Genomic DNA, 25834 nt, shown 5'->3' with positions numbered 1-25834 from the left:
GAGAAAGCAGGAAAGATCTAAAATCAACACTGTAACATCACAATTAAAAGAACTAGAGAAGCAAGAGCAAACACATTCAAGAGCTACCAGAAGGCAAGAAATAACTAAAATCAGAGCAGAACTGAAGGAAATAGAGACACAAAACACCCTTCAAAAAATCAACGAATCCAGGACCTGGTTTTTTGAAAAGATCAACAAAATTGATAGACCAAAGCAAGACTAATAAAGAAGAAAAGAGAGAAGAATCAAATAGACACAATAAAAAATGATAAAGGGGATATCACCACCGATCCCACAGAAATACAAACTACCATCAGAGAATATTATAAACACCTCTACGCAAATAAATTAGAAAATCTAGAAGAAATGGATAAATTCCTCAACACATACACCCTCCAAAGACTAAAACAGGAAGAAGTTGAAGCCCTGAATAGACCAATAACAGGTTCTGAAATTGAGGCAATAATTAATAGCCTACCAACCAAATGGATTCACAGCCAAATTCTACCAGAGGTACAAGGAGGAGCTGGTACCATTCCTTCTGAAACTATTCCAATCAATAGAAAAAGAGGGAATCCTCCCTAACTCATTTTATGAGGCCAGCATCATCCTGATACCAAAGACTGGAATAGACACAACAAAAAAAGAGAATTTTAGACCAATATCCCTGATGAACACTGATGCAAAAATCCTCAATAAAATACTGGCAAACCGAATCCAGCAACACATCAAAAAGCTTATACACCATGATCAAGTGGGCTTCATCCCTGGGATGCAAGGCTGGTTCAACATACGCAAATCAATAAACATAATCCAGTATATAAACAGAACCAAAGACAAAAACCACATGATTATCTCAATAGATGCAGAAAAGGCCTTTAACAAAATTCAATAGGCATTCATGCTTAAAAAAAATTCTCAGTAAATTCGGTATTGATGGGACGTATCTCAAAATAATAACAGCTATTTATGACAAATGCACAGCCAATATCATACTGAATGGGCAAAAACTGGAAGCATTCCCTTTGAAAACCGGCACAAGACAGGGATGCCCTCTCTCACCACTCCTATTCAACATAGTGTTGGAAGTTCTGGCCAGGGCAATCAGGCAGGAGAAAGAAATAAAGGGTATTCAATTAGGAAAAGAGGAAGTCAAACTGTCCCTGTTTTCAGATGACATGATTGTATATTTAGAAAACCCCATCGTCTCAGCCCAAAATCTCCTTAAGCTGATAAGCAACTTCAGCAAAGTCTCAGGATACAAAATGAATGTACAAAAATCACAAGCATTCTTATACACCAATAACAGACAAACAGAGAGCCAAATCATGAGTGAACTCCCACTCACAATTTCTTCAAAGAGAATAAAATACCTAGGAATCCATCTTACAACGGATGTGAAGGATCTCTTCAAGGAGAACTACAAACCACTGCTCAACAAAATAAAAGATGACACAAACAAATGGAAGAACTTTCCATGTTCATGGATAGGAAGAATCAATATCATGAAAATGGCCATACTGGCCACGGTAATTTATAGATTCAATGCCACCCCCATCAAGCTACGGATGACTTTCTCCATAGAATTGGAAAAAACTACTTTAAAGTTCATATGGTACCAAAAAAGGGCCCGCATTGCCAAGACGGTCCTTGGCAAAAAGAACAAAGCTGGAGGCATCACACTATGTGACTACAAACTATACTAGAAGGCTATAGTAACCAAAACAACATGGTACTGGTACCAAAACAGAGATATAGACCAATGGAACAGAACAGAGCCCTCAGAAATAATACCACACATCTACAACCATATGATCTTTGACAAACCTGATGAAAACAAGCAATGGGGAAAGGATTCCCTATTTAATAAATGGTGGTGGGAAAACTGGCTAGCCATATGTAGAAAGCTGAAACTGGATCCCTTCCTTACACCTTATACAAAAATTAATTCACGATGGATTAAAGACTTACATGTTAGACCTAAAACCATAAAAACCCTAGAAGAAAACCTAAGCAATACCATTCAGGACACAGGCATGGGCAATGACTTCATATCTAAAACTCCAAAAGCAATGGCAACAAAAGCCAAAATTGACAAATGGGATCTAACTAAACTAAAGAGCTTCTGCACAGCAAAAGAAACTACCATCAGAGTAAACAGGCAACCTACAGAATGGGAGAAAATTTTTGCAATCTACTCATCTGACAAAGGGCTAATATCCAGAATCTACAATGAATTCAAACAAATTTACAAGAAAAAAACAAACAACTCCATCAAAATGTGGGTGAAGGATATGAACAGACACTTCTCAAAAGAAGACACGTATGCAGCCCACAGACACATGAAAAAATGCTCACCATCACTGGCCATCAGAGAAATGCAAATCAAAACCACAATGAGATACCATCTCACACCAGTTAGAATGGCAATCATTAAAAAGTCAGGAAACAACAGGTGCTGGAGAGGATGTGGAGAAATAGGAACACTTTTACACTGTTGGTGGCACTGTAAACTAGTTCAACCATTGTGGAAGACAGTGTGGCGATTCCTCAGGGATCTAGAACTAGAAATTACCATTTGACCCAGCCATCCCATTACTGGGGATACACCCAAAGGATTATAAATCATGCTGCTATAAAGACACATGCACACGTATGTTTATTGCGGCACTATTCACAATAGCAAAGACTTGGAACCAACCCAAATGTCCAACAATGATAGACTGGATTAAGAAAATGTGGCACATATACACCATGGAATCCTATGCAGCCATAAAAAAGGATGAGTTCATGTCCTTTGTAGGGACATGGATGAAGCTGGAAACCATCATTCGCAGCAAACTATCGCAAGGACAAAAAACCAAACACCGCATGTTCTCACTCATAGGTGGGAATTGAACAATGAGAACACTTGGACACAGGAAGGGGAACATCACATACTAGGGCCTGTCATGGGGTTGGGGGAGAGGGGAGAGATAGCATTAGGAGATATACCTAATGTAAATGACGAGTTAATGGGTGCAGCACACCGACGTGGTGCATGTATACATATGTAACTAACCTGCACGTTGTGCACATGTTCCCTAAAACTTGAAGTGTAATTAAAAAAAAAATTAAAAATAAAAAATAAAACAAAAAAAAAGTCTAAACGAAATTTTAAAAAATCAAAATTATATCAAGTATCTTCTCAGGCCACAATGGGATAAAACTAGAAATCAATAACAGAAACTTTGGAAACTGTGCAAGTATACAGAAATTAAACAAAATGCTCCTGAATGACCATTGGGTCAATGAAGAAATTAAGGAGGAAATTAGAAAGTTTCTTGAAACAAATGAAAATGAAAACACAACATACCAAAACCTAGGGAATACAGCAAAAGCAGTGCTAGTTAGGAAATTTGCAGCAATAAATATCTACATCAAAAAAGTAGAAAGATTTCAAATATCTAATGTTGTACCTCAAGGAATTAGAAAAGCAAGAACAAACCAAACCCAAAATTAGGAGATGACATGAAATAATAAAAGTCAGAGCAGAACTAAATGAAATAGAAACTTCAATGAAAAAGGGATCAACAAAAGGAAAAGGTTTTTAACAGATAAACAAAATCGATGGTCGGTTGCTTGTAATAATCAAAAAAGAGATAAGACCCAAATAAACAAAATCAGATATGAAAATAACCAGTGAAATAGCATATACTGTTGCTGCTTTCAGAATTAACAAAAATAACTAAATGAAATTATATTTAGGGAACAAACCAAAAGGGACTCAGTATCTCAATATTCAGGAATTAAAAAAAATGTTCTACCTATGAAGTTTCATTTTATTGTTCATAAACTGGAAGCATCTTTCTTAGGAAGCATTTGAAAATAGAAGACTTTAAAATATTTCTTTGCTTTCATATCTGTGAGTGAAATTATATAACTGTACAAGTTGTAAAGCCTGAGGACAGTAATTTTTAACAATTTTTCAAAGGGTCAAGCTAACTTAAAAGTTAACATTTTAAAATATAATTGAAAAGGAAAAGGAAACCTTAATGCTATTTTCTCTGAAGTCAAATAAATATATACAAACATACAGAGATAGACATATATTAAAAGATATAGAATACATATATAGAACCCTAATTATTACCATTCTCTATCAAGAGATTAAAACAACAGGTGAATTTTGGAGTGCTCTTTAATGTTAACCAAACTCAGATCCACAGTTTTATCAGCAGTGAACCCATTATTACCTCTTTGAAAAATCCGTGTGTGTACTTTTATTCATGTAGTAATACTTGTTTAATCGAGTTAATTAATTACAGCTTAACCAAAAAGCTCAAAAAGACCTCACACAGCATTCAAAGCATAGCTTGAAATCTAACTCTGCCTCACTTTTCTTTAAATTGGCCCTGAGGATGAAGTCAATAAACTGTCAGTTAATCACATACTTTCTTTGATGACTCTTCTGTAATTCACTATCATCCCACTTCATAAATTTTTTAGTATAAGTTCTGAGATTTCAAGTGAGATGCCTCTTCCATGGGAAAACACAGTTTAAGAGTTTTCTGCTGCCAATAAAACAATAAGACAAACTGGCTGATGATCCTCCCACACTATACTGTGTAGGTGTAAGCCCTCAACCAGTGAAAGTTTAATTTGTTCCACCAATAGCACAGAAAACTACTCCAATTTATTCACTAAATAAATATGAACATTAGTCTCTTGCATTTTGTTAAGACCTAGTTTGAACTAAGTTATTTGTAGGCAAAAACAATCCTGAATCAAATAGGGTTAATACAATAAACATAATTAGTATCCCACTACCAGGACCAAGATGTTCCACTACGTATATATTCTATCAACTTCTAATGGGAATGCACTATTTTCCAAGGCCAGCTTCCCCCAAACAGCATTATTTTCTCACTTAATAGTCAAATACCCCTAAAATATAATGAAAACATATAACCTCTACCTCACTAGTCCATCTGGCACTCTAGATATGTCTTTTACCTACTGTCTACATATTCCTGACCTATTGACTCAGATTCTTAGCCTCTTGCCCACTCTCAGGGAAACTCCCTAATTGATATATTTATCCTGCCCACATAGTTCACTGACCTCTTATCCTATAAATGACAGGTCCTTGTCTTCATGCCCTTAATTCACTCCAAGGATTAGTCTTCCTAGTTGCCAGATGCCCTTAAATTGACTTAAAGAATCCACTTCACATTTATTACAACCAATGCGCCAAACATAAGCGAAAACTTTTGTCTTAATAGTCATCTGATAAAAATAAACAGCATTAACAAAAAGTATTAAAAATACAGTGGTGATATAACTAGGTTAAGTGAGAAACAGGCAATTTTTGACAGAGTTGATTAGTACTAACAAGAAAGCAGACAAGACCAAATAGTTAACACCAAAGTGATAAACCAGTAAGAGGAAGAAACTAGCAGAGTGGCTAATGTCAAACGGGTAAAAGCCTGGATGTCAGTCCATTTCTTTATTTTTGCCTCTTGATAATAGCTATTAGCAATTAATTCCCATCATCTCCCATTAAAGACAGGTTTATCATGTAACTTTTACCAAAGATTTTTAGTTCAAAATCTTTTACTAATTCAAAACACTTTTACTCAACACCAACCATATGCCTAAAAGTAAACATTAAGCACTTAGAGATAAATAGGCCCTGTATTTGAACTGTTCATAATTTAGTGGGAGACACTGATAAAAAACTAATGATCATATTGTTTGATAAGTGCTTTAATAAAGACACAGTAATCCCTCAGTATCTGGGGGATTGGGTCTAGCAGCCCCAGTGGATATCAAAATCTGCTGATACTCAAATCCCTTATAAAAAATGGTGTTGCATTTGCATATAACCTACACACATCCTCCCATATACTTGAAATAATCTCTGGGTTTTATAATACCTAGTACAATGTAAATGTCATGTAAACAGTTATTATACTGTATTGGTTTTTATTTGTATTATTTTTACTAGTTATTATTTTTATTGGTTGTTTTTTCCTGAACATTTTTGATCCACCATTGGTTGAACCCACAAATGTGGAATGCATTGATACAAAGAGCCAACTGTATTCATATGAAGTTACAGAATGTAAAGGAGAAGCAAAATACAATGGACACCTAACCTGTCTTGGGAAGCGAATTTGTAAATAAATTTTCAATGAGGTAATGATTGAGTTGAATAAAATGGAGATAATAAAGTAAGAGAAGAAGAAAATTAGGGAGCTTTCTATGCACTAAAAATTGTTTACACTAATGAAAATGGTAAGAGAATGGCATTTTCATGGAATTGCAAATCGTTCCACATGATGGGAGGATGATATGCACATGAAAATACCACACAATATGAGGCTCATGTTGTCCTGCTAAGAAGTCTGAACTTTATACAGAAAACATTGGGAGGGGGGCAGTAAAACATATTTTGAAAGGGAGCAAAAAGATCACATCTGTCTTACAGAGAAGGTTTATAGAAAAGTCTCAGAATTTGTTGATTGCCCAGATATAAAAGATGGAAAATGAGAGAACAGAAACGTTTAGGATGATCCCTAGGATTATGAATGGATTGACTGATAATACTACCATTCATTGTACAGAGAATAAAGGTCAAGGTGTAGGCTTGGAGTAAAATGGCAAAATTAACCTGGAAGTGCTGGGTCTAATGTGCTCATGAATTATCCAAGAGACAATGTTCACAGATAATCAAAAATTCATTGACAGTCCAGGAAAAATGTTGGGACTACCAATGTTACAGAATAGCACAAATTTAATATTTCATCTTTACAGAATTGACTGGCATTATCCAAGACTGGGTACACAATATCAATTCCTTTTAGCCACTGGATTCAATGCCTTATTCCATGAAAAAAAAAACAAAACATGATTTTCTTTTAAAGCAATCACATCTGCCAATAGAAAATATGAATTTCTTTAAAATTTTCTTTCCTAATCCCTGATTATCCTCTCATAGGGAAGTGCTTTCTGATAAAACAGAAAACAAAGACTATCTTATTTGTTTTTTGAGTTCCAACCAAAAACTCGAGCCATTATAATAATAACTACTATTTTGATGTGCCAAATCTTATTCTAAATGCTTTAATTACATGAATTCATTAATCTTCATGACAACCCTGAGACAGATACTATAATTATACCCATTTCACCAATAAGAAAACAAAGTTACCAAAGATTCAAACTAGCCCATGATCACAAAAATCACATGCAGTGGAGACAAAAATCAGTCTGCTTATAAAGCCCATATTTTTAACCACTATACTATAAAATCTGTCATAAATGATATTACTCTAAGAAATCAGGATTATGTGAACGTCAAAATTAAGCTATGGAGAACTACAAAAGAAGCTATGGAGAACTACTGATGGTAACATAAATAAATATGCATATAAATGGAAAAATAGATCACCTTACTGAGAGATCTGTAGTACAAATGTTTTGCCAGGCACTGAGCCACAATCAATACACAATCACTGAACCACAGCAACACACAATCACAAGAAAGAAACATATATTCTTTTTTTTTTTTTTTTTTTTTGAGACGGAGTCTCACTCTGTCTCACCCACGCTGGAGTGCAGTGGCGCAATCTCAGCTCACTACAGCCTCCACCTCCCAGGTTCAAGCAATTCTCCTGTCTTAGCCTCTGGAGTAGCTGAGACTACAGGCGAAGAAACACATATTCTAAAGCCACATTACACGTGGGGCTGTGCAGAGTTTCTGCAGTTGCTTCAAAATCTTGTTACTACTGGAATTTTACTGAATCTAGAATGCACAAGACTTTAAAAGATTTAAAACATTCTTCATTCTTAATGTCACTTTAATTCCTTTAATGGTGGTATTACTATAGAAAAAATATAGCTAGTTACAAAGATAAAGCACTCTATGAATCAAGGGGAATCTGCACCATAGAGGACATGAGCGCCCATTGTTCACAGCAACACTTTTGCAAAACAATGTTTCAGTTCTCCTTCTCAACTAGTTGTTTTCCTTTTTTTTTTTTTTTTTTTTTGAGACAGGCTGAGTGCAGTGGCGCAATCTTGGCTCACTGCAACCTCCACCTCCCAGGTTCAAGCGATTCTCCTGCCTCAGCCTCCCAAGTAGCTGGGATTACAGGAGCATTCTACCACGCCCAGCTAATTTTGTGTATTTTTAGTAGAGAAGGGGTTTCACCGTGTTAGCCAGGATGGTTTCAATCTCCTGACCTCATGATCCGCCCGCCTTGGCCTCCCAAAGTGCTGGGATTACAGGCGGTGAGCCACCACACCCGGCCCTTCTAAACTAGTTTTAAACAACAAAGACAGACATTTTCATCATATTACACAGATGGTCCCCAACTTAGGTTGGTTCAACTTAGGATTTTTTGACTCTAGGATGGTGCTAAAGCAATATGCGTTCAATAGAAACCGTACTTCACGTGCCCATGGAGCCATTCTGTTTTTTACTTTCAATAGAGTATTCAGGCCAGGCACTGAGGCTCACGCCTGTAATCCCAGCATTTTGGGAGGCCAAGGCAGGTGGATCACCTGAGGTCAGGAGTTCAAGACCAGCATGGCCAACATGGCAAAACCCCATCTCTACAAAAAATATAAAAATCAGCTGGGTGTGGTGGCATACCCTGTAATGCCAGCCACCTGGCAGGCTGAGGCAGGAGAATTGCTTGAACCTAGGAGATGGAGGTTGCAGTGAGCCAAGATCTTGCCACTGCACTCCAGCCTGGGTGACAGAGTGAAACTCTGTCTTTAATAAAAAAAAAAATCAATAGAGTATTCAATAAATTGCATGAGATATTCAATACTGTATCATAAAATAGGCTTTGTGTTAGAAGATTTTGCCCAATAATAGGCTAAGGTAAGTGTTCTGAGAATGTTTAAGGTAGGCTAAGCCAAGCTGATGTTCAGTAGGTTAGGCATATTAAATGCATTGTCAACTTACAGTATTTCCAACTTACAGTAGATTTATTAAAACAAAACACACATCATAAGTTGAGAAATATTTATAGTTATCACTGGTATTTAGCATCAAAATACTAAAGTGTTCATCTGAAGCCAACCCTGGTAATCTGGCTAGACAGTTTGGAGCTATGGCCGGAGGAGTCAAGTAAGGGCCAGAAAAGTAAGTATCTTCAAACCCTAGAATAATGACTTCAGAACAGCCTCGTGCAGCAGAAAATCTGATGCCCCTCCTTTCTTAGACTGAGTCCCATTAGAGATCATTGAAATAAGGAGCTCCAGAGCTCTCTTATTTGACACTATGAGTACTGCTTCAGTTGAAGGGTGAAAAAAATTAGTTAAAGTAAGAAATCACAAGAAAGAATACATTTACAGTCTAAACATTTTATTTAGCCTGGGTGCAGTGGCTCACACCTGTTATCCCAGCATTTGGGGAGGCCAAGGCAGACGGATCTCTTGAGCCCAAGAGTTTGAGACCAGGTTGGGCAACATAATGAGACCCCATCTGTATTTAAAAAACAAAAACAAAACCATTTTATTTAAACATAAAACACAAACGTATATCCATTAATTTGTCTTTGGATTTAGATGGAAACAAGGACTCTAAGTTCTGCCTTATCTTACATAAATACCTTTGATATATCATCTACAATTTCTGCTTTCAACTTTTTACTGAATAAGCTCCCGTTCCATTAAGTTACTACGAAGATAAAACAAGATGGGACTCTTGGCTGGGTGCAGTGGCTCACGCCTGTAATCCCAGCACTTTGGGAGGCCGAGGCAGGCAGATCACCTGAGGTCAGGAGTTGGAGACCAGCCTGACCAACATGGAGAAACCCCATCTCTACTAAAAATAAATTAGCTGGGAGTGGTGGTGCATGCCTGTAATCCCAGCTACTCGGGAGGCTAAGGCAGGAGAATTGCTTGAACCTGGAAGGTGGAGGTTGCGGTGAGCCGAGATTGCGCCATTAAACTGTAGCCTACGCAACAAGAGCAAAACTCAGTCAAAAAAAAAAAAAGAAAGAAAGAAAACAAGATGGGACTCTTAAAAGAGTGCCTGATACTAACGAGCCCTAAATAAAAGTTAAAAAAAATTTTTTTTTTGAAACAAGGTCTTGCTCTGTTATCCAGACTGGGGTGCAATTGCATGCTCATGGCTCACTGCAGCCTCGACCTCTCAGGCTCAAGTGATCCTTCCACGTCAGCCTTCCAAGTAGCTGGGACTTCAGGCATGCACACCACACCCAACTAATTTTGGTATTTTTTTGTAGAGATGGGGTTTCACCATGTTGCCCAAGCTGGTCTCAAATTCCTGGGGCTCAAGCGAGCCACCCACCAAAGTGCTGGGATTACAGGCACACGCCACCATGCCGGGCCAAAAGTTAATATTTTTATTATGTGTGCAGAACTTGGTTTACCAAAAAAAAAAAAAAAAAAACTATATTAAATAATCTGATTTTTTCCCAATAACACTATGAGGTAGGCTAACACTTATTAATATTCCTATTTCACAGTGGGATACTTGAGGTACACAGCAGCACATTAATGACAAACACCTAATAAATGATATAGCTGAGGCTAAAACCCAGCTCTGTAAGAGTAATGCAGACAATCTCTCTTGAATGGATAACTAAAGAAAAGGAACTGGGAAGAGAATGCAGGATGATTCATCATATCTCCCAGAAAACCTCCTTCAAAAATGATACCTAGGCTGAAAGGGATAAACAAGTAAGGACGTGGAAACCTGTACTCTTAGCCAAACACATATTAGGGTTGGTTACAAACTGACTTGGAATACAGCAACAACTTTAAGCTACTACTCGCTGGTTGAGAAGTCTATATAAAAAGAAAACACACCCAACATACCAATGTTACCATGTTGCAATTGCATACTGTTGCAGTATTTACAACCAATGCTTTATTGAGAAATATATATTCTTTTAACTATTTGCTTTCAAAAGCTAACATAAAATTATTTAGAATAAGTAACCTGCTGTTTATCAAAGTGCACATTAATGCCAAATATGCTATTAACATAGCAAAAAGCAGAGATAAAGTGACCCAAGTGGTATTTGGGGATTGCAGACAATAGATGGCTTCCCAAATGAGGACATATGAAAACCTCAAAATGTTGTGCTCACCCCTGGTGTACACACAAACACACACACAAGTTTGCTTAAATAAGTCTAAATAAGACAGCTATGGGCAAGAATATCAAAGGAAAGGATTAGAGAGAGGCAGACTCAAAGATTTAGAAACACACTGGTTTGATCTTGTAAACAGAACTTTTGGCACATGTTCCCATTAGACAATCAGGTAGTAGTTATATGATCATATAACAAAACACAACAAGGCAAGCTACTCAGTTTATGTTAAGTATAAATTTACTTTGTTGTTGTTTTTGTTGTTGAGATGGAGTTTCGCCCTGTCACTAAGGCTGGAGAGCAATGGCACGATCACGGCTCACTGCAACCTCCACCTCCCAGGTTCAAACAATTCTCCTGCCTCAGCCTCCCAAGTAGCTGGAATTACAGAGGCCCACCACCACGCTCAGCTAATTTTTGTATTTTTAGTAGAGACTGGGTTTCACCATGTTGGCCAAGCTGGTCTCGAACTCCTGACCTCATGATCTGCCCGCCTCAGACTCCCAAAGTGCTGGGATTACAGGCATGAGCCACCGTGCCTGGCCAAATTTACTTTTAAAATGTAAGGATGGACAGGAAAAAAAAAAAATCTGTAAGTTTAGCATGGTGCAACAATAAAAAAACTAAAATATAAATTCATGTTAAATGTGGAGTTAATCTGCTGGTAAAAATGATATCAGTAGTAACACAAGAAATATTTGCCAAAAAACTGCACTACATACTTTATGTGCATAATTTAACTTAAGCCTTACAAAACTTAAGTGCTGATTCTTTTTAATGAAGAAATTAAAACGTAAAGCGGTGGAATAACTTGGCCGGGTACAGTGGCTCACACCTGTAATTCCAGCACTTTGGGAGCCTGAGGCAGTGGATTACCTGAGGTAAGGAGTTCAAGACCAGACTGGCCAACATGGTGAAACCCCGTCTCTACTAAAAATACAAAAAATTAGCCGGGTGTAGTGGTGGGGGCCTGTAATCCCAGCTACTCAGGAGGCTGAGGCAGGAGAATCGCTTGAACCCAGGAGGCTGAGGTTGCAGTGAGCCAAGATAGTGCCATTGCACTCCAGCCTGGGCAACAAGAGTGAAACTCTGTCTCAAAAAAAAAAAAAAAAAAAAAAAAAAGTGGTGGAATAACTTGGCCAAGATCGCTCTTTGGAATGTGGCAGGACTGAAACTCCAGATCACATCTAACTCTAAGAGTGTTTCTGACCATCAAAAACCATCCCTGCAAAGCAGAGGTGCTGCTTTCTGAGCACCTGCCACTCACTCCTTGGCCTTGTGCTAGCTCTTCATATTCCCTACCTTTAATCCTAAAAACAATCCCTGTAAGGGGGCCAATTTTTTAAATAAATTTTACAAATGAAAAAATAACACTTGGGAAGACAATTAACTCCCAAAGTCATGAAGAAAGTTAAAGCAAATAGGTATCTGAAAACAGGTTTGCCTGACTCCAAAGTCTAACCTCTTTCTCTTAAACAGTGTTGGGATAATGAAACTAAAGAAATGATTTACAAGATACTTGAGAGTAGAATTAAAGCATTAAAACCTTCTAGGAAAAAATACTTACATGTCATTGAGTGAATTATTTATATGACATCTTGACGATCTCCAAGATAATCTTTCTATCAGACAAAAGTATATCTTTTTTATTTTTATTTTATTTAATTAATTAATTTATTTATTTTGAGACCAAGTTTCACTCTTGTTGCCCAGGCTGGAGTGCAGTGACACCATCTCGGCTCACCGGAACCTCTGCCTCCCAGGTTCAAGTGATTCTCCTGCCTCAGCCTTCCTAAGTAGCTGGGATTACAGGCATGTGCTACCACACCCAGTTAATTTTGTGTTTTTAGTAGAGACGGGGTTTCTCCATATTGGTCAGGCTGGTCTCGAACTCCTGACCTCAGATGATCCACCCACCTCGGCCTCGCAAAGTGCTGGGATTACAGGCGCAAGCCACCGCACCCGGCCGACAAAAGTATATTAATTATGATATAGACAAGAAAGACTCACTGGAACTCTCTGAAAAGTTAGCCACTGCATCATAAAATTTGTAGTTAAACTTATTTAGCACTAATATTTGAAGAATAAACTTTTGACAATGTTTATCAAGGGCAAAATAATGCACCAAAACATGCCTTTAATAAAGTTACTGTCAGGCAAGCTCAAAAAGATGAATATAACAAAACTCAGCCCTTCTTTCTATTGGTAAAAAATTAGAAAAATCCCAATATCCAAATATCCACCAATAATGTATTACCCAGCAAGAAGACATTAATTAATTTCAAGACAGCCAACAACAGGATGCTACAATGTCACTTAAAATGAGGAAGAAAAACTGTATTTAGTGGCATAGAAAGATGGCTTTAAAACACTGTTGAGTGGAAAGGCAGGTACAGAAGAAAATGTATGGGTACAAAATCATACGTGTACAATTCTATGTTTATCTAACGTTGCATAGAAAATTGTCTAAAACGATGTTCACCAAAACATAAACACTAGCTAACCACTAGCACATAGTTTCAGATTGCTAACACTTCTTAATATTTTTCTTTCCATGGGAATTTTTGCATTATGCATTTATCAGAACAGTAAAATGACATTTTCATTTTGTAAAAAGAAAAAAGGAAGAAAAGAATTAGCACATGATTTTACATATTACTCAATATGAAGTAATGATGTCTTATTACACAAACCCTTAGACCTAGTTGATTCATATAACAATTATTTAAAAAACATTATTTTAATAAGAAAATAGCTGACAAGTTTCCTAATTTCACCAAAATATAAAGTTACAAATGTGATTACAAGGATTAATACTTTAGGCTGTTAAGAGGTTGACATTAAAAAGAACAAAGTTCTAACAGCTAGTGAAAAACCAATGCAGAGCTCCTATGCGCATCTCAAAAAGGGCTGCCTAAAATGAAACAATAGCCAATTTCAAACAAAATCTTTCACTTGGTTTCAATATAAGAAAAAAAGAAAAATCTAAACTAAGTTTTGTCATCAGAATTTCAGATCAATAAGCAAATAAACCCTATAAAAACCTTACTTTCATTTTACATTTTAGCATCTAAAGTCTCAAATTTTCTGAATTTGTTGAGAAATGTATTTCACATGAGTACACGAGATGTCTTCAAAAAATCCCTCCCCCTCATATATATATATATAAATACACAAATATTTATACTTAAATTGGTGTTTATCACTCTTCTAGTTCATTTGTGCTGCTATGACAAAATACTCAAGACTGTGTAATCTATAAATATTAGAACTTTATTTCTCACAGTTCTGGAACCTAGGGAGTCCAAGATCAAGATGCCTGCAGGTTTACTATCTGGTGAAGTCCTGGTCTCTGTTTCCAAGATGGAGACCTGAAAGCTATGTCCTCACGTGGCAGAAGGACAATAAGGAAAGATGAGTGCTTCCTTCAACCTCTTTTATAAGGTCACTAATTCCATTCACAAGGGCCAACCCTTGTGACTTAATTACCTCATAAAGGACCCACTTCCTAATATTATCACATTGGTGATTAAGTTTTAACATAGGAATTTTAGGAGACACATTCAGACCACAGCAATTACCATCCTTGCATAAATATGCATTCACAATATGCACAGATAAGGTTTTGCTTGTTTTTAGAGTAAAGAAAGATTTAACTATACTAGAAAAATTCATTCAAATTTACATTCAGTCCAGGTTTCCATTTTATGTATTAGAAAAAATGGCATATTGTAGTAATATTAGAAATAAGAATCTAGCATATGTCCTACCTATATATAAATATGTAGTACTTCCAAAATATTTTTCTATCATTAATTACATAGATATTATCCTTATTTCCAGTGAAAAAAAGTTTATTAAAAATTTATAGCTTCTAGAACAATAAATGCTCTTCACATCCTTGCCCTGATCTGGCACAGAAATTATATGTACACAGGTAATATTTGGATAGATAATTAAAAGGGTAACAAAAAAGGCAAATGAATAAACTCCAAACTCATTTTTAGAATTAATATTTACATAATGTACAGATGGTCCCCAACTTACAATGGTTCAGCATAAAATTTTTCAACTTTATGATGGTGCAAAAGCCATATGCAGTCAATAGAAACTATAGGAACTATACTTCCTTTTGTTTTTTTGAGATAGGGTCTCACTGTATTGCCCAGGATGGAGTGGAGTGATGCAAACAGAGCTCACTGCAGCCTTGACCTCCTGAGTTCAAGTGCTCCTTCCATCTCAGCCTCCCAAGTAGCTGGGACTACAGGGGCATGCTACCATGCCCAGCTAATTTTTTTAAATTTATTCTTTGTAGAGACAGAGTCTCTCTATGTTGTTTAGGTTGGCCTCAAATTCCTGGGCTCAAGCAATCCTTATACCTCCCCTCCAAAGTGCTGGGATTATAGGGATGAGCCATTGCGCCTGGCCTTCTACTTCAAATTTTGATTTTGATCTTTTCCTGGACTAGCGATATACAGTATGCTACTCTCTTGTGATGCTGGGCAGCGGCAGAAAGTGATCACAAGGGTAAACAATCTGTACTCTACAGTGCACTGTGTTGCTAGATGATTTTGCCCAACTGAAGGCCAATGTAAGTGTTCTGAGAATATTTAAGGTAGTCCAGGCTAAGCTATAGTGTTCAATAGGTTAGATGTATCAAATACATTTTCTACTTAATATTTTCTATTTACAAAGCATTTATCAAGCTGTAACATCATAAGTCAAGGAGTTTTCATACATACATATATGTTCTGTAGCTTTTATTTGAACACAGTTTCTGACCACTTTAGATTCTTCTGTCAACTTTAGAACAAGTCCCTTCTGATCATAAAATCCATTACTTAACCTCTTTCAAAAGATACTTATTTCATTAATCTTTTTTCCTTTAGGCTGTTTATAGATGTATCATTAACCTGTATATAAAGTTATTATATAAGTAAAATATCATACATATTAATGATGTAAAACTTCTTTTTTATTTTGAAATTTTAGGACATTTTATCACCTAGTACCAAGAGACAATTTTTAAATTAATTTCCAATATATCTCCCTAACTGTTTTCTACTGCTTATTTTATCTGTAAAATCTCAGTATGTCACTAGCATAATGCATCTACATATATGATCAAATGTTTGTCAATGAAGATAAGCTCTTACATTTTCTAATACCAACAAATATTTTTAACACATCAACTAAAAAGGAGAAACTAGTCAAACATAGGATCATCAATGTCATCCACAGCCACCACCAGCCACATGATGCCATCCTTATTTTTACTTCGATCTGTAGAATACTGTCATAATACACCAATTTGTGAGAACAGCAATAATAATAAACAAATTAACTTAGTTTGCAACATGAATGGTGACCTCTTTAAAAGGGTGTCTTTATGCAATGGACAACACAACAGTATTCAGTATCTGGCATTGCAACCATTTAACAGATTAAGAAACAATCAAATTGAGCTCAAGTGATTTACACCAAGATTAAGATCCAGAATTAGAATTCCAGAGTAACAGCTTTAATGTTACAGACACATTTCTTCCTTCATATAACAGGGATCTTGTCTTAGCTATGCCATATCACTCCATGCTATTTTCTTTTTTTATTTTTATTTTATTTTATTTTATTTTTATTATACTTTAAGTTTTAGGGTACATGTGCACATTGTGCAGGTTAGTTACATATGTATACATGTGCCATGCTGGTGCGCTGCACCCACTAACTCGTCATCTAGCATTAGGTATATCTCCCAATGCTATCTCTCCCCCCTCCCCCCACCCCACCACAGTCCCCAGAGTGTGATATTCCCCTTCCTGTGTCCATGTGATCTCATTGTTCAATTCCCACCTATGAGTGAGAATATGCGGTGTTTGGTTTTTTGTTCTTGTGATAGTTTACTGAGAATGATGGTTTCCAATTTCATCCATGTCCCTACAAAGGACATGAAATCATCATTTTTTATGGCTGCATAGTATTCCATGATGTATATGTGCCATATTTTCTTAATCCAGTCTATCATTGTTGGACATTTGGGTTGGTTCCAAGTCTTTGCTATTGTGAATAATGCCGCAATAAACATATGTGTGCATGTGTTTTTATAGCAGCATGATTTATAGTCATTTGGGTATATACCCAGTAATGGGATGGCTGGGTCAAATGGTATTTCTAGTTCTAGATCCCTGAGGAATCGCCACACTGACTTCCACAATGGTTGAACTAGTTTACAGTCCCACCAACAGTGTAAAAGTGTTCCTATTTCTCCACATCCTCTCCAGCACCTGTTGTTTCCTGACTTTTTAATGATTGCCATTCTAACTGGTGTGAGATGGTATCTCATTGTGGTTTTGATTTGCATTTCTCTGATGGCCAGTGATGGTGAGCATTTTTTCATGTATTTTTTGGCTGCATAAATGTCTTCTTTTGAGAAGTGTCTGTTCATGTCCACCCGCTTTTTGATGGGGTTGTTTGTTTTTTTCTTGTAAATTTGTTTGAGTTCATTGTAGATTCTGGATATTAGCCCTTCGTCAGATGAGTAGGTTGCGAAAATTTTCTCCCATGTTGTAGGTTGCCTGTTCACTCTGATGGTAGTTTCTTTTGCTGTGCAGAAGCTCTTTAGTTTAATTAGATCCCATTTGTCAATTTTGGCTTTTGTTGCCATTGCTTTTGGTGTTTTGGACATGAAGTCCTTGCCCACGCCTATGTCCTGAATGGTAATGCCTAGGTTTTCTTCTAGGGTTTTTATGGTTTTAGGTCTAACGTTTAAATCTTTAATCCATCTTGAATTGATTTTTGTATAAGGTGTAAGGAAGGGATCCAGTTTCAGCTTCCTACATATGGCTAGCCAGTTTTCCCAGCACCATTTATTAAATAGGGAATCCTTTCCCCATTGCTTGTTTTTCTCAGGTTTGTCAAAGATCAGATAGTTGTAGGTATGCGGCATTATTTCTGAGGGCTCTGTTCTGTTCCATTGATCTATATCTCTGTTTTGGTACCAGTACCATGCTGTTTTGGTTACTGTAGCCTTGTAGTATAGTTTGAAGTCAGGTAGTGTGATGCCTCCAGCTTTGTTCTTTTGGCTTAGGATTGACTTGGCGATGCGGGCTCTTTTTTGGCTCCATATGAACTTTAAATGGTGCTTTACACGTTCAGAGAAACTTCTCTAGTAACAAACTATAGAAATGATCCCTGAAAGTATAGTCTTCACTCCATGCTATTTTCTAAAAATCCCCTTTGGACCAGTCATCAAAAAGATAGTGAAAAGAAGCTAAATAAGAAGCACAAATAATTAGTTGCATTGTGTGTTTATAAGTAGTTCTGATTCAAAATAAACCACTGTCTGTATCTTAGGAAAGTTACAAACAGTTGCACAAAAATAGATATAACATATAAAATTTACCCAAGAACTGCAATATATGGGGTATATTGTGTGCCCCTTTTAGATTCCATTTAAGGTGGATAAATTATTTTTTATGATATCTAAATTATTTGCTATTTTTAGTGATCCCAATATATGGGATAAACCTGAGCAAAGTAGAAACATCTAGGTCCATGTGTTTAACTTTTATAGATTTTAAATAACATAATATCTAAACATGATCTTTTCAGCTACAAACTGCAGAGGCTTACTTCAGCGACTATAATCATTAAAAGTAATAGATAAAGCTGGTCAGTAATTAAATTGATCACATCTCCCTGAGGGCCAAAAACCTAGTAGATGACAAAAGAGCTCAACATTTTCCAGCTGCTGAAGGGTAAAAGCTTTCAACATTTGGATGTATGCAGGCATCTTATTTTCCCAGGATTTCAAAGTCCACATGCAGGCTGCTGTTCAGCTATTATAAATGAGTAATTCAAGTAGGGCATGACTGCTTCTTATATTAACTTGATAAAGATGTTTCACTCTAAATGCATCAACAGTTGTGTTAAGTCATCCCTTTCACAGGCTGGCTGAGGCATACTTATGCCATGCTTTGTTAACAACAAATCCAATTAAAAGTTTTCTTCACTTCTGCATTTGTTATTCTAAGGCTAAAAATCAAGTTCTACTTAATAATTAACTCCAAGCTTACCCACATAAATTAGATTAAATCTAATAATCCCAACATCCAAATTTTAAAAATTTGTCTTAGAAAACAAAGCAGCAATAACAATCCAATCTTATATTCTACAATCTTTTAAAATTTTTAAATATGATTCCTAATTATACTTATCTGAATATTCTGAAATACTGTAGAGGAAAAATTACCTTACCACAAATATGTACTAAACACTTTTTAACAACAATTATATATTTTTTACTTTTATGGGAATATTGTCTTCATCCAATAATAATTACCATTTAAAAGAAAACAATGTAAGCTAATTGAAAATATTTGCAATGCTAAAATAAGAATTTTCCACTCATGTGCAATCCTTTATCACTCAAGGCTTAAATATCAATCCTTCCTTGAGAGATCTTTCTAATATCATTCAGTCCTCCCTTCTTCAATTCAAATTAATCTCTTTTTCCTCTATTTTTGGATAGCAGAACTTCTCTCCCAATCAATTATATCATTTGTGAAAGTCAAATTAGAATTAGTTGTATGTGTATATAGACTACTTGACCAGGGCCCTGTACTGAGTAACTTTCTATACCAGCCTCTAGAATGCAGCTAGCAGCCAATAAATTAAAGTAAATAGAATTCAATGAATTGAATCATAAATTATCTAGAGTCTGAAATCTCCATAGCCTGTGCTGTTTCACGTAATGGTGAAGAATATGAGTTCTTTATTCAAACTGCCTATGTTCTCTGTAAAATGCTTAGAATAATTCCTGGCACGTAGAAAGAACTATTAGTATTATTACATCTATTGCTTCTATTACCCTAAAGAAAACTTGGTTCTTGTTTCTTTGTTCCTCATTTCAGTAAAAGGCATTTTATTGTCCACCCAGCTCTTCAAATCCACATCCTGGGTGCTTGCCTACTGTGCTCTTTCTTTTGGCCAACATATTCAATTAATCACCTCCTGTAATTCCAACCCATTAATATTCCACAAATCTGTGTAATTCTCTCCATTGACATTAGCATTTTTTCACTGCAACATATTCCTAACTTTTCTCATGGCCTCCTGTCATTTATCCTCATCCACACTACTGCCTATGCTAGTTTCTAAAGCATAAATATAAAAAAAGCCTTTTAACTATTTCCTTTGGCACTCAGTCCAAACCCTTTAAAATGACTTTCAAGGCCCGTTTTAATCTGAGGGAGCTTTCTTATCTTATCAGGCACAAACTATTACCATTGATCCCATCCCATTCAAATCTTCAAATCCACAGAAATTATTTACAGTTTAGCCAAACTTGACCAATTGTTTCTTCTCCAACCCTTAATTAAGGACTCATCTTAGACATGACTTATTCCAGGAATCCTTTTCCAAGTCAGAAAGACTGGGTTAAGGATTTCTTTCAATGTGAATTCATAATACCTTGTTTTGTGGCATTCCTTGAACTACCTTTTTTTTCTTTTTTTTTTTTATTATTATACTTTAAGTTCTAGGGTACATGTGTACAACGTGCAGGTTTGTTACATATGTATACATGTGCCATGTTGGTGTGCTGCACCCATTAACTCGTCATTTACATTAGGTATATCTCCTAATGCTATCCCTTCCCTCTCCCCGCACCCCATGACAGGCCCCAGTGTGTGATGTTCCCCTTCCTGTGTCCAAGTGTTCTCATCGTTCAATTCCCACCTATGAGTGAGAACATGCAGTGTTTGGTTTTTTGTTCTTGCGTTAGTTTGCTGAGAATGATGGTTTCCAGCTTCATCCATGTCCCCACAAAGGACATGAATTCATCATTTTCTATGGCTGCATAGTATTCCATGGTGTATATGTGCCACATTTTCTTAATCCAGTCTATCATTGATGGACATTTGGGTTGGTTCCAAGTCTTTGCTATTGTGAATAGTGCCACAATAAACTACATTTTAAATGTCTACTTACCTGTACGTCTCCATCAATGAACTACATATAAGCTCATTAATAAGAGATAAAAGGGTCTCGTTCATCTTTATATCATAAGGTTCCAGCACCAAGAAAATATGTGTTGAATGAATACAGGTAACTACATGGTCACCTGAAAATGGCCATTTAAAGTAATATACATAATAAAAAGAACTCCAGACAACAAGAGTCAGTCTTACCTCCTCCACTCACTAGATGCTTAACTCTAATGACACTTGCCCAAATAAAATGTTTGCCTTTTCTTTTCTTCTGGACTAGAAATGATCTTGAAAGTCTCCCACTCAAAATAGATGTATTTTTCTACACAGGATAAGTCATTATAATAAATCTTGTTTTTAGGATAACTGATGATTAATGATTCAACAATATCAAACTGATTTTTTAAAAACTTACCAGCAACTTACTTTAATATTGCCTGTTCCTCCTTCACTCTTTCCTCTCCATTCAGTGGCTATTTATCACCCTGCAGAGGTGATACATTTTGGCCTGGTCACCTTCTTTCTTCCTGAAAAGATTATTCACTAAGCTCTGCTTGCTTTTCGTCAACTACAGCTCATTATTTCAGAAATTCTCATGCCCACATAGAAATGAATCGTCTTTAGATTCTTGACATTTCCTGTATCTCTGTCAACTCATCCAGCTATCTCAAGGAAATGTTCTTTCTAGTTCTCAACTTGAGCCCAAAGTAACACTAACCATAGCTAATAATTCTAAATAAAGCCCAAATCAAGAAGACAGGAACTGACTGGAAGTGAGGGTAAAAACAAAAAAGAACGGCAATATCATCAAACTCTAATGTCCTATTATAGATACACTGAAAAATACTTTGATAGTGTCTCTACAGAAGTATATATAGCATTCTCCTAACTAAACCTATTTTACCTGAAGTTAGATGATTTTAGATATTATTCAAATTTACTATTGTTCTTAACTCTTCCTGTAAGATCATTATCTAGAGTATTAACTTCCATTAGTTTCCATTAAGAATTTGGAAAATTTCAACTTTATCGAAGGTTTAACAAAAAAAGATTTCATGAGTTGACCCTGATTTCCCTTTCTTTCTTTCTTTTTCTTTCTTTCTTTCCTTCCTTCCTTCCTTCTTTCATTCATTCATTCATTCATTCATTCATTCATAGAGGCAGGGGTCTCACTATGTTGTCCAGGCTGGTCTCAAACTCCTGGACTCAAGTGATCCTTCCACCTCAGCCTCCCAAAGTGCTGAGATTATAGGCATGAACTACCACACCCAGCTGAACTTGGAGTTTAACTATGACAATCAATATCTTTGTTCCTATGTCAAAATACATGCAAATAGTCAAAGAGCTATTTTTCAAGTGAATATCTGGATGCTGGATCATAAGTCATTGAAGGTTCTTTTGATTTGTACTATACCTGATAGTTGACTAATGATAAAATTCCAACTATACATCAAAAAGAAGACACATTTTATTTATAATTAGAAAACAATTATCAGAAAAATAAAGTTATTTTAAATATTTTAGTCACTAGACTAAAACTATTCAAAGAGAAATGTAAATTATGATATCTTAAAATTTGGTATTTTATTCACATACATATTGAGACCCCTCCCACTTGCCCCTCAAAGCATCTTCAAAAATTGAGCTATAGACTCTGTGACTTTCAGGGTATATATATTCTTTAAAAATGAAATTGTATTTCATTATTAAAGGTTATATAAGAATTAAGTGTGCAAGAATGCTATGTGTGAGCCAAATAACCATAATTCTCTCTAAATAATTGGTTGAAAATAAGTAATTCTGGAGAAGAAATATTTTTTAATATCTATTATGTTTGCAGAAAATATCAAAAAACATAGAAGAGTAAAAGTATGACTGGGAGTTGACCCATAATCCCATTAAGCACTGGTAATCACTATTAAAAGTAATTTTTATGAATACATAAATATACATGCATGCATATATTCATATGTATATACTGAAGAAATTTTACAAAACTGGAATCTTATATGTAGGTTTATACTTTTATTTTTTCACACAAGCTTTTAATATGAACATTTTCCTTTGACATCAATATCCTTCTAGGAATATACTGATTTATTAGGTAATTTGCCTACTATTAGACAACAAAGATAATTTGTGATTATCATAAATAAGCTGACATAAATACCCTTATACTTCAAATATAAGTCTTTCAAACGCATCTTGGATTACTCACTTGGGATATAGTTTTAGAAGTGGGATTATAAAAGATAACCACTCTTAAATTCTTCATAAACTTCGCTAAATTGATTTTTAGAGGCTCTGTACTAATTCATACACCTGCCAGACTTTTATGGACATACTCATCTCATTATAAATTCCTCAGCTTTGTTTTATCATTTAGTAAACATTTATCAATTTCACAGGTAAAAAAATGTTCCTTAGTGTTTTAATGTCGATTTCTTTGACTACTTGTTAATTTGAATTTTTTATGTGTTTTGATCATTTGTGCTTCTTACTTTTGTCCCCTTTGGCCATTTTCCTATGGTGTATTTGCATTTTTATTATTTATCTATAACTAAGTTTTATATAACTTTGGCTATCATATATTTCCAGATAGATATTTTCACAATATTTTAGATTTTTATCTTTTAGTGGAAATTAGATGATGTCATTATTACATTCAAAGAAAGACTTCTGATAGTTTAAATAATACTATATTAAGTGTTTTATTCTCATAAAAAATAGAATAAATTAACTACTAAAATTAAAATATCATAATCAACAGAATGTTACTTTGGTGAGGCTTGGAAACTCTCATGTGTGTAGATAGCTACATATATCCATCTATCATAGATCATATCATAACTCATCATAGATAAGGAGATGTATCTATCTATCTATACAGTACGGAGGGAGAGATAGATAGATAGATAGATAGATAGATAGATAGATAGATAGATAGATAGATAGACAGACAGATAGATACACACACACATATATCTCCTTAATACCTAAAGCAACACCTAATCTACAACAGATACTCAAATATCTGCCATACAGAAAAAGTACTTAGAAGTTAGAACACATTATTTACTTAACTAAAACCAGGTTAGAATATTTTATTTATTTACTTCATTAACAAAGCCTAAAACAAAACCAAAATGAGCCTTATTCTGGCACGTTCCAGGTATTGGCAAAGCAGCTGGCTGAAAGGAACCTAGTACGGCAATATTTGAAAAGTAAAACTCAAGTTAAGGTCAACAGAATTATCCCAGAATTATCAACAATCAATATTTCCTTTGTCTTCAAAAAACTGTTATTTCATTACTGCCCTCTGCCGGTGGTATCATTTCTCTTTAATTTTCCCACCATGCACTAAACCTTCACAAAATTATTTCTGATCTGCCTCTATATTTAAACCACCCATAGCTAGAAATATCCTAGCCATCTGGAATTTAGCAAGCCTCTTAGGAAATAACTTGTGCTTCAATGTAGAGCTCTGTGTTTTTAAAAGCACACCCTTGCAGGTTATCTGATTCTGACTCTATGTTACTCTGCACCTTTCATTGCCTTTACACTATTTTACAAATCAGTAAATTATAGATAACTGATAGCAATGCAAAATAATTATTGACTGAAGGTACGCAAATTCTGTCAGGTAGAAGTTCAATTGATCTCATTTCCCCATTAAGGGAAAAGCCAGTTTGTTCATTTCCAAATCTATTTTGATATTACTGATCAACAAATGCCTCTGTTTTTTAAATTCTCCTTTGATCTAGTTGTAACATATGCCTGGTTCTCTCATTAATGATGAGTTAAATAAAATCTTTAGCACTTGTCTTATTTCTATATGAGAGTTATGATTTTACATTTAAAAATTATTCTTTAACAGACCGAAGCCAGACTACATTTTTCCCCATAGAGCAATTCAGAAATGAAATATGTACCTGCGAACAATAGGGCTATGCCCAAATGGCAAAAATAATTTCCTTTGGACCAGCCTACATTTACTGAATACCTATCATACACTAGTTATGGTTCCCTGCTGTTAAGAACTCCCAACTTCATGGGGAAGGAATCCTATAAATAGTTAAGACTATTTGCAGCATGATACAGCAAAAGTGCTATGGTTGTGCTTAGAAGGGAGTAATTAATTGGGAAGGGAGGGGAGAGGAAAGGGATGGGGAGGAGGAAGGGCAAAAGTCAGAGGGAGGTGAAAATAAAACAGAAATATCCTCAGTAAAACACTTAAACTCTCACACATTAACAGACAACTGAGTCTCACTTATTTACAAAACAATGCAATGGTATAAGAATGACTCCCATGTATACTGAACTGAATAAAAGGAATGCAAAGGCTGTCAGTAGAATGAGGTTTTTTCTAGAGGGTATAGAACAACTAGGAGAAGGGGCAGGTAGCAAAGATTGATGTGAATTTCACCCGTAAGTGTTTTATAAAGCAACTCCTCTTTTGGCCTATATGAAAGCTACTATACAGCCAACTTCAAAATCTGCACAGGATCACAAGGCTAATGTCATTGGGTCTTAAACACAAAAGCTATGAGTTGCAAAAATAAAAACTCACATAGAAAATGTATATTATTTTCTAAGTAGAAAATAAAGTAATACTGGTACCTTTTTGATCCATATAAAACATACTTTAAACAAATTATGAGATAGTCCGTATTTTCTAGTGAAGTTCACCTGCAGCCCAGTATACAACCCGAATACTTTTTGTATACT

The 25834-nt window shown here is 35.5% G+C and overlaps 1 protein-coding gene and 1 pseudogene across 2 annotated transcripts in view; both read right to left on the bottom strand.

Moving 5' to 3' along the window:
- VPS13B (vacuolar protein sorting 13 homolog B) overlaps positions 1-25834 on the bottom strand; it is an 864307-nt gene that overhangs the window by 566286 nt on the left and 272187 nt on the right. The window lies entirely within an intron of this gene.
- On the bottom strand, positions 18246-18324 carry LOC124902102 (uncharacterized; annotated as a pseudogene).

The sequence above is a fragment of the Homo sapiens genome, chromosome 8 (assembly GCF_000001405.40).
Source record: "Homo sapiens chromosome 8, GRCh38.p14 Primary Assembly".
In the NCBI taxonomy this organism is placed as follows: Eukaryota; Metazoa; Chordata; class Mammalia; order Primates; family Hominidae; genus Homo; species Homo sapiens.
Note: the sequence above shows the minus strand (reverse complement) of the source record. Positions and strands in the feature narration are given on the sequence as shown.